This window comes from Homo sapiens, chromosome 9 (genome assembly GCF_000001405.40).
Source record: "Homo sapiens chromosome 9, GRCh38.p14 Primary Assembly".
In the NCBI taxonomy this organism is placed as follows: domain Eukaryota; kingdom Metazoa; phylum Chordata; class Mammalia; order Primates; family Hominidae; genus Homo; species Homo sapiens.
The window spans coordinates 21,465,457-21,477,989 of record NC_000009.12 but is presented as its reverse complement, the minus strand read 5'-3'; the positions used below and the strand labels follow the sequence as shown (position 1 = coordinate 21,477,989).

At 36.5% G+C, this 12,533-nt stretch overlaps 1 long non-coding RNA gene across 4 annotated transcripts in view, besides 1 other annotated feature; it reads left to right on the top strand.

Annotated features, from left to right (window-relative positions):
* MIR31HG (MIR31 host gene) overlaps positions 1-12,533 on the top strand; it is a 105,531-nt gene that overhangs the window by 81,809 nt on the left and 11,189 nt on the right. For 2 of the 4 annotated variants that reach the window (NR_152877.1, NR_027054.2), the window contains exons 2-3: positions 698-821; positions 955-1,091. This is a non-coding gene — a long non-coding RNA (MIR31 host gene). The remainder of the gene's footprint in view (positions 1-697; positions 822-954; positions 1,092-12,533) is intronic. The other 2 variants (NR_152878.1, NR_152879.1) reach the window with 1 other exon arrangement.
* Positions 11,798-11,877: a silencer, noted in NCBI's record as "silent region_19807". NCBI's record gives its function as "represses an Ori minimal core promoter by ATAC-STARR-seq in GM12878 lymphoblastoid cells {active_cell/tissue: GM12878}" and the evidence as "EXISTENCE:reporter gene assay evidence [ECO:0000049][PMID:35858748]".

Here is a 12,533-nt window from a genome sequence, read left to right as displayed (position 1 = left end):
TTTAGAACCAGGAAAAAAAAATTATTATATTTTTGAAATTTAAAAAAAGAACAGGCTGGGTGCAGTAGCTCATGCCTGTAATCCCAGCACTTCGGGAGGCCAAGGCAGGCAGATTGCTTGAGCCCAGGAGTGTGAGATCAGCCTAAGCAACATGGTGAGATCCCATCTCTACTTTAAAAATTAAAAACAACTCTTGTAAAGGGCACCTGCTGTAAGTTAAGTCCCACCTCTAACATGAATCAGAATCACCTGGAGGATTTGTTAAAACCCTGATTGCATGGTCCCATCCCACTGTTTCTGATTCAATAGGTCTGTGGTATGGCCTGAGTAATTCCATTTCTAACAGTTCTCACATGATGCTGTTGCTGCTGGTCTTGTGACTACACGTAGTAAGCCGTACCCCTACTTCTTGATAGCCTTGGTAAGTTTTTAAGAGATGAAGGCATAGTTTTTTTAAGGCTACTGATCTCATATTTCTTATGACATCTGGAGAAAAGTTAGCACCCTAGATAGGAGTTAGTTGATGAAGATATATTTTTTTTCTATCACTGCCTTTTCACAGCAGCAAATCAGACATTTTCCTTATTAAAGAAGCTGTATGTAGCAACTGTCATATCCTAGGTGCACCCCATGACAATATCTGCCTTTTAAGGAAAATGGACTAAAGCAAGTTTTGTTTTGTTTTGTTTTCTCTAAGGTTTCTGGTCCTCATACCGTGTGGTTGAGTGAAATCAAAACTTCCACGATAGCAATGCTGATTGGACAAAGAATGTGTTGTGGACACAAAACCAAACTCTGGAGGACAGAGGATTCATTCCAAGGTGAAAAATGGCAAACTTATCCAGTGATCTCCTCTATAGAGAAGTATAAATGTTTGGTAAATAGAGTTGGGGGCCATTTGTGGAATTGCCTTTGGCTAAAGTCATTTAGCCCAAGTTTTCTACTCCTCCCTAGGGTCTGCTTGTATTCAATGACTGGTCTACGTGGGGGTGTGAAGTCCCCTTACTCCACCTGTGAAGAGTCTTCCCAGTTTCAGACCACCCTCCCAGCCTCCTGTTATTGGCTAAGGCCATTTTGTGACTACACTGCAGGTTAGCTTTCCCCTTTGCCTAATCGTCCTGCCTTTTCTTCTCACAAATGTGATTCCATAGCTCTCTCCAATAAACTTGCATAAGAATCCTCATCTCAGAATTTGTTGTCTGAGCTTCAATTTAGGGCCACAGAAAACCTAAGCTCATAAGCTGTTTCTTTTGCTAGCTACATATTCTTTCCCTTATATGTGTTAATAACATTTCTGTTATTCATGATTCACTTAAAATTTTTCCCTTCACGGAGAGCCTTTATAGTCTGATTTGTCTGAACCTATTTGCTACTTGCCCATAGCACAAATCTTACCATGTCACTGACCTCATTGTACTGTAATGGGTTACTTCTCTTTCTTCCAACTAGAGTATTACCTACTTTGTAGTAAGGACATGGCTTCTTAACTCTTTAGCACATTATTCAACATTTAACAGGGACACTCTAAATATTGAATGAATGCAGACTTTTTAAAATATAGCATTAAAGGAAAGAAGGGAGATACCAGTACCATATTGTCATGGCCAATTAGACATATGAGGAGACTGTCTAGAAATGAAGCCTTTCTTGTTTGTGTGGTGTGCTAAGAAGTTAAGTTCTGATGTTTGTTTTTGAGACTCTCCATTATTCCTGGATGGACCATTTAGATATGCTACTTCTTAGAGTGAAAAATGAAGTATTTATCTTTTTCCAGTGAAATGGTGGGTTTTACACTTATATAGCAAGGGCACAATAAAATAAGAACATAATGTGTAGGGCAGAAGTCCAGATGGGAGCCTCTCTTCTAACTAATGGTTCTGATCATCTTAGACAATGCTTTCCTGAACTTTTTTTTTTTTTTTTTTTTTTTTTTTTTTGAGACGGAGTTTCACTCTTGTTGCCCAGGCTGGAGTGCAATGGCATGATCATGGCTTACTGCAACCTCCGCCTCCTGGGTTCAAGCGAATTTCCTGCGTCAGCCTCCAGTGTAGCTGGGATTACAGGTGCCTGTCACCACTCCCAGCTAATTTTTGTATTTTTAGTAGAGACAGGGTTTCACCATGTTAGCCAGGATGGTCGTGAACTCCTGACCTCAGGTGATCCACACACCTTAGCCTCCCAAAGTGCTGAGATTACAGGTGTGAGCCACCGTGCCGGGCCGACCCCACTCTTATGATGTGTCTTTCCTCCCAGTCAGCCGGGGTTGATGGTTGGTTATATCTTCAACTGCCAGGTAATACAGAAACCATTAGCACCATCTTGAGCAGTTCTAAAAGGATCTGTTTTTTGCTCAGCTTTTTAAAAAAACTTAAATTATGAAAATATTAGAACAGTACATGCCAATGGCATAAATGGCTCAATTTTACAATTTTATAAAATATAACACTCTTCCCATTATTCTAGTCAAAAGGCCACTCATTTGTTGTCCAAAATAGGTGGCCACTAGCTATTAATAAAGATTTGGTGGCAATTTTCTTCATTTCTTTGGATTTTATACATGAAGCATTATGAGTAGGCAGAAGATAGCCAGCATGTAGTAAGTGTTTAGAGGTAAGTAGCTAGGGTTACGTAGTAAGTATGCAGGAAGGGACCATAACACAATAACAGTCCTATGAATTTTGCCTTCAATGCAAAAAGAATCCAGTTTCTTAGAGGTGTGAAAAGCTGTTCAGTCAATTTAGGTAGAGATGTTTATCTCTTGGAAAGGATGAAGTGAGGTTTAAATAGAACAAAGGACAGGATTCCGTTGACTAATAAATCATGTAACTTTAGTCTACATAAGAGAGGTAAGCATACATTGTTTTAGTGAAATTTATTCCAAGTTATGTTTCAATATAAGCCTTACACAAAATAAAATATAGATCCTTGGAGAAAATTTAATTACTCTAAGTAATTAACTCTAAGATGAACAATGCAGTTACCAATCTGTATGAAAACATTTGGGATCAAAGTGAATTTATTTTGAAAGCACTGAGAATTGAATTCTTAGCTGGTGTATTATTCAGTGTATCAGATCTTTTTAAAAAAGTAATAGTTCCTAATCCACTCTCATTACTTTAGACGGAGGAATGAGTATCCGAGAAAGAGGCTAGATGAAATTGGAAAGAAATAAGCATATTTCCAGACTCAATGGTGGGATTTGAGGAGACATACTTTGAAGGACCCATTTGTGCCTAGTAGAGGGGGAAAAGAAAGATAATACACTCTGTGGATGGGATAGAGATCAGGAGCAGAAATAACTAAAATAATAAAAATGTACCTGAAATGCCTCTGGCTAAGTGGGTTCTTATTATGGGTTCAAATTAGAGAGGCAAAGAGAGGATTCTGTACATTTCAGCATTTATGTTGCAGCAGTCTGCAGGAATTGTAATTGAAGACACAAGATTAAGAGTCTCATCAAGAAGGGATTTTAGAGACTTCACTAGTAGGTTCATGCTGTAATTTCTAGCACAAAGTTTCCTTGGAGCACTTGGGACTGTCTGAGGGGTTGAACATAAACAAAATAAAACAAAACCAAACAAACAAAAAACACGTACGGTGTGGTGGGGAGGGAGGGAAGGTGGGTTACTGGGCAGTGGGAGCCATAGGGCTTAGGGTTTCAGGGCATGTATGTTGGGGAGGGTGGGAGAAGGTGGCTGAAAAAACAAAACACAACATGTGATGTTGAACACACACACACACACACACACAGAGTAGAGTGCAAAGTTTGAGATAAAAGATTTTTTTTCCCTAAATCATCTCTTTTAGATTGCCATGTACTGTCTTCTGCTACTAATAATGCCTGACATATTAAAAATCAAACAAAAAAAATAAAAAACACTAAATGACCTTCTCGTGCTCAACACTCAGGTAAATAGCTATGAAGGTTGAGCCAAGGGGTAACCTTAGTGTTACACCCATGGCTTTGTCAAAGTTGGCCTTCTACTGCTAAGCAGAGTTATTGTGACTGGACCAGGTGTGGATATAACTCTTTTCTTCCTTAGAATGGGTTCCTTTTTAGGATAAACAACAAACCCACTCTAAGACCATGATGCAAGTCCAGACAGGTCTAAGTCCAAGGACAGCACAGTTTAGGCTCAAGCTAAGGATGTTCAGTACGTGGGAAAAAATGTAAAATATAATCCATTATATAAATATGTCTAGACAATTCATATGATGTCATCAGATCCTGGATATACAGCCAATGAGCTGTGAAACCTATATCCAATAAAATCATGTTTTTGAAGAAATAGATATACCCCTACTGGAGTATTAAATCTGCTCCAGTCCCACTTGCTCCCTTGACTGGGCTCAAGGTTACAATCTGGACAAGAATGAGATCTTCAAGTGCCTGTATGAGAATCTTGCCTCTGTCATGACTAGAAGACAGGAAAGAATCCAGATTTCCTTAGGGGCTGATGGAAGATAGCTACCTGCCGACAAAAGATCATGCTACTGTGTCCCCTGCGAATAGCACCAGCAGATATTCAAGCCTTTTGTGACACAGAGATCTCATGCTAGTTGAGATGAAACCTGGATGGAGAAATTTCTTACTGGGCCTCACCAGTAGATGGACACCTAGAGGAATTAGAGATAGGAAACAAAAAGAAGCCTCCCTCCTGAGAAGTGAGCATGTTATTCTGCTTCTCTATGCCTCAGGTCATTCAGCTCTTGAGTATAATAAAAACAGCCCAAATCATTGGATGGTTACGAGGATGAATTGAATTATAAACACTTCAGAACAATGCCTGGCATGCTCAATAAGTAGAAAACATTATACCTAGTATACCAAAATGTAGGAAACAAATGCAAATCTATTAAATACTAGAAATATGTGTATGTAAAACATTTTTAAATCTTCAGACAGGAAAGCTCTTTCTGAGTAATACGAAAACTATGGCCACAATGGAAAAAAGAAATACATTTTAACACATTAAATGGAAAAAATAATCTATCCAGCAAAGGGCCATAAAGAAAATTCAAATCACATGGAAAAAAAACCCTTAAAATATGTGAGTATTAATATTTTAAATAAAAAGTTCAAATATTTTAAGAACCTGATAGAGATATGAGTAAGAAATATAGAGGCAGTTTACAAGAAGCCTAAATAGCTGTGAGTGGATAATATGCCAAATAATATGCCTCTCATTTCAAATAAATGAAAGATCTGATGAACAACAAAAAGATTACTTGGTGATGGTTGGGGTAAGAGTAGATACAGTAGAAGTATAAAATTTAAAAACACTTATAGTTAATTTAGTAAAATCTACCAAAATTATTAAACCACCAGACCCAGAAAATGCAGCCCTAGGTATTTATATTACAAAAACACTGTCCATATGCCAGCTCAAACATATATACAAATTTATTTATTGAAGCCTTATTTATACAAAAGACAGTTGTAGTGAAATTAATATGCTATTATAGAGGATTGGTTAAGTCAGCAATGGTCCCTTTGTATTACAGAATACCATACAGTCAATCAGTCTAATTAGGTAAAGAATATTCATTTACATCCAAACTTGTTCATAGTATGTTGAATGGTGCTGAGTGAAAACGCAAGTTAAGGAATAAGAGTGATTACATTGATGAGGAAACAGAGGGTAGAAATGAAATTTTAAAATTCTCTTTTAATTTCTGGAAACTAAATATCTCGTTTTCTCTTTTTTAAATTCTTAACTATCCATTTAAGTTGACTCGGATTGTATCCAGCATTTCTATTTTCATGAAGCAAGGGAGATTTATCATAGCTTAGTTTCTACTGTGGTTGGTACTGGAAGACAACACCTGCCTTTGGTATCACCAGGGGACGACGTGGAGGGACCACTTCACTGGCCACTATTAAAAAGTGAAGGTGAAACAGATAGAATATTGGATAAAAATCATATTTTCTAATAAGTAAATATGAGAATTTTAATATGTTTCTCTTTTAAAGAATAAACACAGTGATAGAGCTTTAGAAATAATTAAAATTCCAATTCCTGGAAATTGATGTCCTCTTTACTATATGGTTTTTTCATAGTCGTTTATGGATGAGTAAAGCACATTCTTATTTTTTTCTCTAGCACCATTCTAGATCTTGGAGCTATGTTTTTGCACCTCGTGATATTGACTTATTTTCTCTTTAAAGCAAAAGTTTGCACTAAGAAAGCCTCCTTTAACCCAACAGCTTGCTCTAAACTTATCTTTAGCTGATCCAGCAATTGCTGAATAAGTTACAACAGCAAGGTCTCCACAAATCTCTATTCAGTAGGAAGTCACACTCTTGGATTAAATTAAAATGAAGGAAAAAACTGCTTGAATGTACCTTATAGAAGAAAGATATTGAGAAAAGGTCCTTTGGTACAGAGTCAGAAAAGATTTCCTACTTGTAGGGATTATGAACCCAAAACAGACCTCTAAGAAGGAGGCATTTTGGATGAATAAGAATGGTCCCATGACAATAATCTCGAAGCCCATTGTGATGTTCTTAGACTAACGAGGTCAGGAAGCTCAGAAGGTAAGGAACTTATTTACGTCTGTAGCTTATTTGCATGTTACTTGAAGTATTTGCTTGTTTTGTGTCATTTTTAAGAGTAGACACAACTTATTAGCATTTGGTAAAGTCATTTTATTTCACTTATGATCTGAAGAAAACCCATAGTTTTGGCTTAAAGGCATAAATTCTACCAATGGATTTATGCTTTAACTGGAAGTAATATATTTGAAATATATCTTGACATATTTTCTATTCTTTGAAATCTGATTTTTCCTTGGTAGCTCTTCACTCCCTTTCCCAACCCACTCTCCCTCCTCTCCCTAGGGAAGGAGAAGTTAAATGTACATAGGAAAGGGGAAGAAGAGGAATAGCCACAATTCCTATCACATAGGAATGTGAGATAAAGGCCTTTCTGGTGCTGGGTAGCATTCATTAGCAGAGAAAGAGAGGAGGGAAGATATAGAATAGTATGGAGTAGCAGTGTCCTCAATAACCTCTTCCCCTGGTGACACCTTGGCAGGGGCAATGGATATCCAGATTAATCCAAGGGTGGGGTATTGTTCCTGGGTTTTCAGGGTATTGACTACCATATCTCTAGGAGACAAAGCATGTTATTCCAGTTTCCAAATGTAATTCCTATGTCAGATTTATGTGGGCCAATGGTGAGATGAATGGGCTCTATCAAGTACATTCAAATGCTAGGCCCTTTCCATTTTCTTCAATATGTGGTGTCCAAGGTTGCCATAGAATGGAAAGTGAGAAAAGAGAATCACCCATGAGAAATTTACATGAGCCAAGCCATCAGAGGGCCATGACATCTGTCCATATTGTATAGGTAAAAACTTAGTCATATGTCCTTGGCTAACTATAAGGAAAGCAGGGTGTAGCCCTGTGTCCAAAATGAAAATAAATTGGATTTGGTGCTCACCAGCAGTGACTTTGCTACATATCGACCTTCAGGTCACCAAATATTAATGTTTCTCTTTGCCCCCCATGTACGGCACGCTTATTCTAACTTGAAGGGACCAATCCAAAGTATTTTCTAGTAATTCCATCCAGCTCAAAGCTCAGAGTCTTTGGGTCATATGGAGTCCTCTTCATAATAGCTGGATATGACTCTGTGTAGTCTGAATGTAGAATGATCACAACAAAGACATGCATTCAGAATTGCCATGAATGGGAAACACAGCAGTTTTTATATCCTACTCGTAGGATTCTGAATTCCCTTGATTCTCTTTTAGCTCTCTGCTTGCATACTGAAAAATACTTTCTTGAACTCATATCTTTCTAAAGTTACTTGCCAAATGCAGTCAACAATTTTTCACACCTACTACTAATATCGTTTTTCAACCTCTACCCTTAGAGGTACAAGCTCAGTAGGCATATAATCTGCTTTCTAAATTAACGCAAGTTACAATTTTGTAAAAGTTCATTGTTGCCTAACATAAATAATTTGTATAAATGAAATTATTTATTACAATGAAATTATTGACTAAAACAATATAATACACATAATTGAATAAAACATGACTGAATCGTAACTTTTGAAAAATTTTTATTCATTCCTTTCATTTATTAACTTATACGCAAGTATTGTACGAATATATGTACAATGAAAAGACAAAAGGGACAAAATTTATTAATGAGCAATAGGAACAGAAATGATCAATAAAGTTGTATTCACAGGCTTTCTGATTACAGGAGCTTTCTCTAAGGAATATAGTGAGCTTTCCTGATTGATTCTTGGCCATGATGATGTATGGCATTGAAAAGAAAATAACTGGAAAGAATTTAAAGTCAATAGAGTTTTTCACAGTGAAAAGGAGGCAGGAAGAATGGGTCCAGGAAAGGACATAGGGGGAGGAAGAATGAGTCCAGGAAAGCAGAGGCATCATCTTGTGCTGATCTATGCCCTAGGTGGAGCAAAAGGTACAGCCCATCTCCTAGCATAGGTCTCTTTCCTAAACTTTCCCCCATGCTGATTTTATCCAAATGCATATGTTTAGCCTGGAAGTCATTCCCATGTTAAAAAATTATATATCCAAGTGCTCTCCATTTGAAACCTTCATTTTAGACCTAAACTCAAAGTAAGGTTATTCAAAACCAATCTCCTGGGGGAAAAATGATTTCTCTTATTCTTTTCCAGTTCTGTTAGTTGCAGTTCACATTTATAGGTTCTCACATAGTCATTCTTGACTCCTCATTTTCTCTCACATCACATCTCCAGTCTGAGTGCAATTAATGTTTTTGCACCATTAAGAGTTTCCAGGTAGGAACTTCATATAGCTCTTTATTTTGAGCATGTGTCTTAATCCACTGAGTTATAGTAACAGATTTTTTTAGAATTCTTGGATTTCTAGAAAAACAATACTCAATTAAGATTTAATATTAACCTGTCTCTAGATTATTTTTCTGATATTTTACTTGTAGCTATACGTAGATAATTTTCTATCTGTAGTAACTTTTTTTTTGTTTTGTTCTAATTCAGCCCTCTTCTATAATCAGTTTTATACTAGTCTCAAAAATAATTTTGGTGATTTTCTAATTTTTCATTTCCCTTGTCAAAAATTGTTTTTAATTGTTAAGAATTCCTTTTAATTCTAAAATAAGCAGGCGCTTCAGCATCAGTGTTTTTAAAACTTTTCAGATAATTCCAAAGTGAAGCCAAAGTGGAAACCACTGCTCTAGGAGATTGTATAAAGGAATTGTGAAACAAGTTATTCCTGTTATAATTAGAAAACTTCTCTCAGGGATCTGCTCCATATGGAGGTGTTTTGTGGTCACCTAGGAGAGATTATCAACCCTTGACCAATGATTGGATGTTTAGACCAATCCAATGGTGCCATTTGCCTACCAATGAAGTTTGAAATTTTACTACTCACATGCACTGGAACAATGTTTTTTTAAATTTTTTTTAATATATTTTCTTTAGATCTGAATCTGGATTTTGCCAGAGACTGGGTTTTGTTGTTGCTGCTATTGCTTTTCTTTTTTTTTTTTTTTTTTTTTTTTTTTACAGGGATTAAAGGGAAAGAGTCAGGTAGTATGCATAGCTTGAAACTTCATGCTGTTAGGAGGTGGGACTGTGATCGGGTTCCCCCAAGTAGACCAGGGTCTGCGGGGTTTGGAATTCTCACAAGTATGAGGGGACAGAAGTTGGGTGTAGCCCAGCTCTCTTGTTGGTCTCACAGCTGGTAGGGTAGGGGAATAGGTGGGATGGGACCAGAGAGCCTGTCAGAAGTAAAAATCAAATATGAGATCTTTCTCCTTATTACAAAAAGACTCTCCTGAGGATTCCACCTGTTTGCTTCTGGCTTTGTTCTTCACTTGTGGACAGAATGTTGTCTATAGAGATGAGGCTATAGAAAAACAAGGATAGGCATCAGCCCGCTTCTTTATGTCCTGGCCAATGACCACTATATGACCAACATTCAAAGGGCAAAGAATAAGCTTCTCACAGATTGAAGAAGACAGGATATACAATGTTAATGGATTGGAGGTTTCAATATTGTTAAGATGTTGATTTCTCAAAAAATCTCAATAAAATTGTAACAGATTTTTCTATGGAAATTAACAAGAAAATTCTGAAATTTACACTGGAGTACAAAAGACCTAGGCTAGACAAGTTTTAAAGAAAAGAACAAATCCAGAAGAGTAATACTAAGCTAGTCTGTCTGGGACAAAGATAAAAAATAAGTGGATCAGTAGAAGAGCATAGAGCCAAAATACAGGCCATATTTATGGTCACCTGATTTGTAATTAATATGTCACTGCAATTCAATAAGCCTAGAAGGTTTTTCTTAAATGTTGTGTGTCAACTGAATATCCATGTTACTCCCACCTCACTATGTACAATAAAGATGCATCATAGACCTAAATGCAAAAGCTAAACATATAAAAATGCTAGAAGAAAACATAAGAGCATATCTGTATGACATGATATTTATGTACTTGGTTACTGTAAGCAGTGTTTCCTTAAATAGGACAAAAGTGAAGTAACCATCAAATAAAATTTGATAACTTAGTCTTCATTAAGATTAATAACTTTAAGTGAATAAAAAGATCAGCTTCAATCTGAAAGATGTTATTTACAATACATTTACCCAACAAAGTAGTTGTATCTAGGATATATATAAAAATAACTAAAATAAAAAGAGAAATCAATATCAATAAGAAAAGGAGAAAGTGCTTACCAAAAAGAAAGATTGGAACAGGAATTTCACAAAAGAGACTATCCAAATGGCTCATAAAACTTGAAAAAAACAACACACTCAACATACATGAACAGTATGGATGATTTCACAGACATAACATTGAGTGAAAAAGCTAAATATAAAGAAAAACTAAAATGTGTTTTCATTTATAGAAAGTTCAGAAACTTCAAAAACCAATTTATGGTAATAGGAGGATACAAGAGTGGCTAGATTTATGATGTGATGTTCATTAAGAGGGAACAAAAGGAGCCTTATTTTTACCCTACATGACCAAATTGTCTTCATGTTATAACTTTAATTCCTCTTGCTTGTTTCATAATGTTTTACATTGTTATTATTTCACCACAATATTAAATATTTCAGGGGAAAGTAGACATTGCTGCCTTTTACCTAATTTTTTAGAAGAATATTTTTGTTTATAATTTCACTTGTTTAAAAAGAAACATGCCTGATCTCATTTGCACATATCTGTTTCTCATTAATTTGAAGTCTTAGAAATTATGACTGAATATAATTTCTTTGCAAATATCTCATCAAAATATTTGAGATGATAGTTTATTTTTCTTATTCAATATTGATGAACAGATTGTTTTAAATTGTTCCCAGTAGTTGGATCAAAAATCTATGTTACTGATCACCTTATCAATTGGAAAAACTAGTGTGGAAATAATTTTTAAAAATGTCTTCTATGGGTCTTTCAGTTTAAGTGGTAAATATATTTATGGGAATCTAGAATAAATAAATAACACAGAATAAAGTTTTAAAAGGTAAGCATAAAATCAGTGATATTAGCCTAATACTAGTTCTAGATTGTTATTTATTATCTAATCTGACCCCATTAGACCTTCCAATATAATTGTTTTTTAAGGGATATTTGGAAGCTTTTCCATCCTTATTTTTTATAACTTAGCTTTGTTCTCTGGTGTCTCTTTGATGAGCAAGGCATTTAAGCAGTTGAGTGTTGGTTAAAAAAAAAAGTCTTGGCTGGGTTCATTAATGATGAACATAACATGGCCTTATGTTAATTAACCAAATGTACTTACTAAGACACATGAATATCTAGAGTTATTTTGTTTCCTTACTGTTGATACACCTCATGTGCAAACACATTCCAGTGATGAATGCTAAATGTTATTCTGCCCTCTACTGGTTCAAACTGGACTCTCCCATTTAGATGCATTCCAGGAAAACAGCTTCAAGGTAGAATCTTTTTTTTTCTTTTTTTTTTTTTTAAGACAGGATCTTGCTGTGTTGCCCAGGCTGGAGTGGAGTGGCACAATCACAGCTCACTGCAGCCTCAGCCTCCCCAGGCTCAGATGATCTTCCCATCTTAGCCTCTCAAGTAGCTGGGACTACAGGTGTACACCATGCCTTTTCTATTTTTTGTAGAGAAGGAATTTGGCCATGTTGCCCAAGCTTATCTCAAACTCCTAGGCTCAAGGGATCCTCCTGCCTTGGCCTCCCAAAGTACTGGGATTACAGGCATGAGCCACCACACCCAGCTAAAGGTAGAATCTTAATGAACATTTCCCTTTATAAGCAAAACAAGTAAAACACCAGGAGAACAGAGCATGTGACCCCACCCACCCTGGCCACTGGCACTCAGGCTGTCAACAGCTGCCAGAGCTTCTGACCCAGTGTTCCTAATTCTGTGGGAACTTAAACAGTGGGTGCAGCCTCCTGTTTTCCCAGGAAGCATCTAGACAGCAGGGCAGGCATTCCCATCCACCCTTGCCACTGGTAGCCCAGATAAGCCATGTCCACTAGAACTTCTAGATTGGTGGTCCTATTTCTGCCTGAAT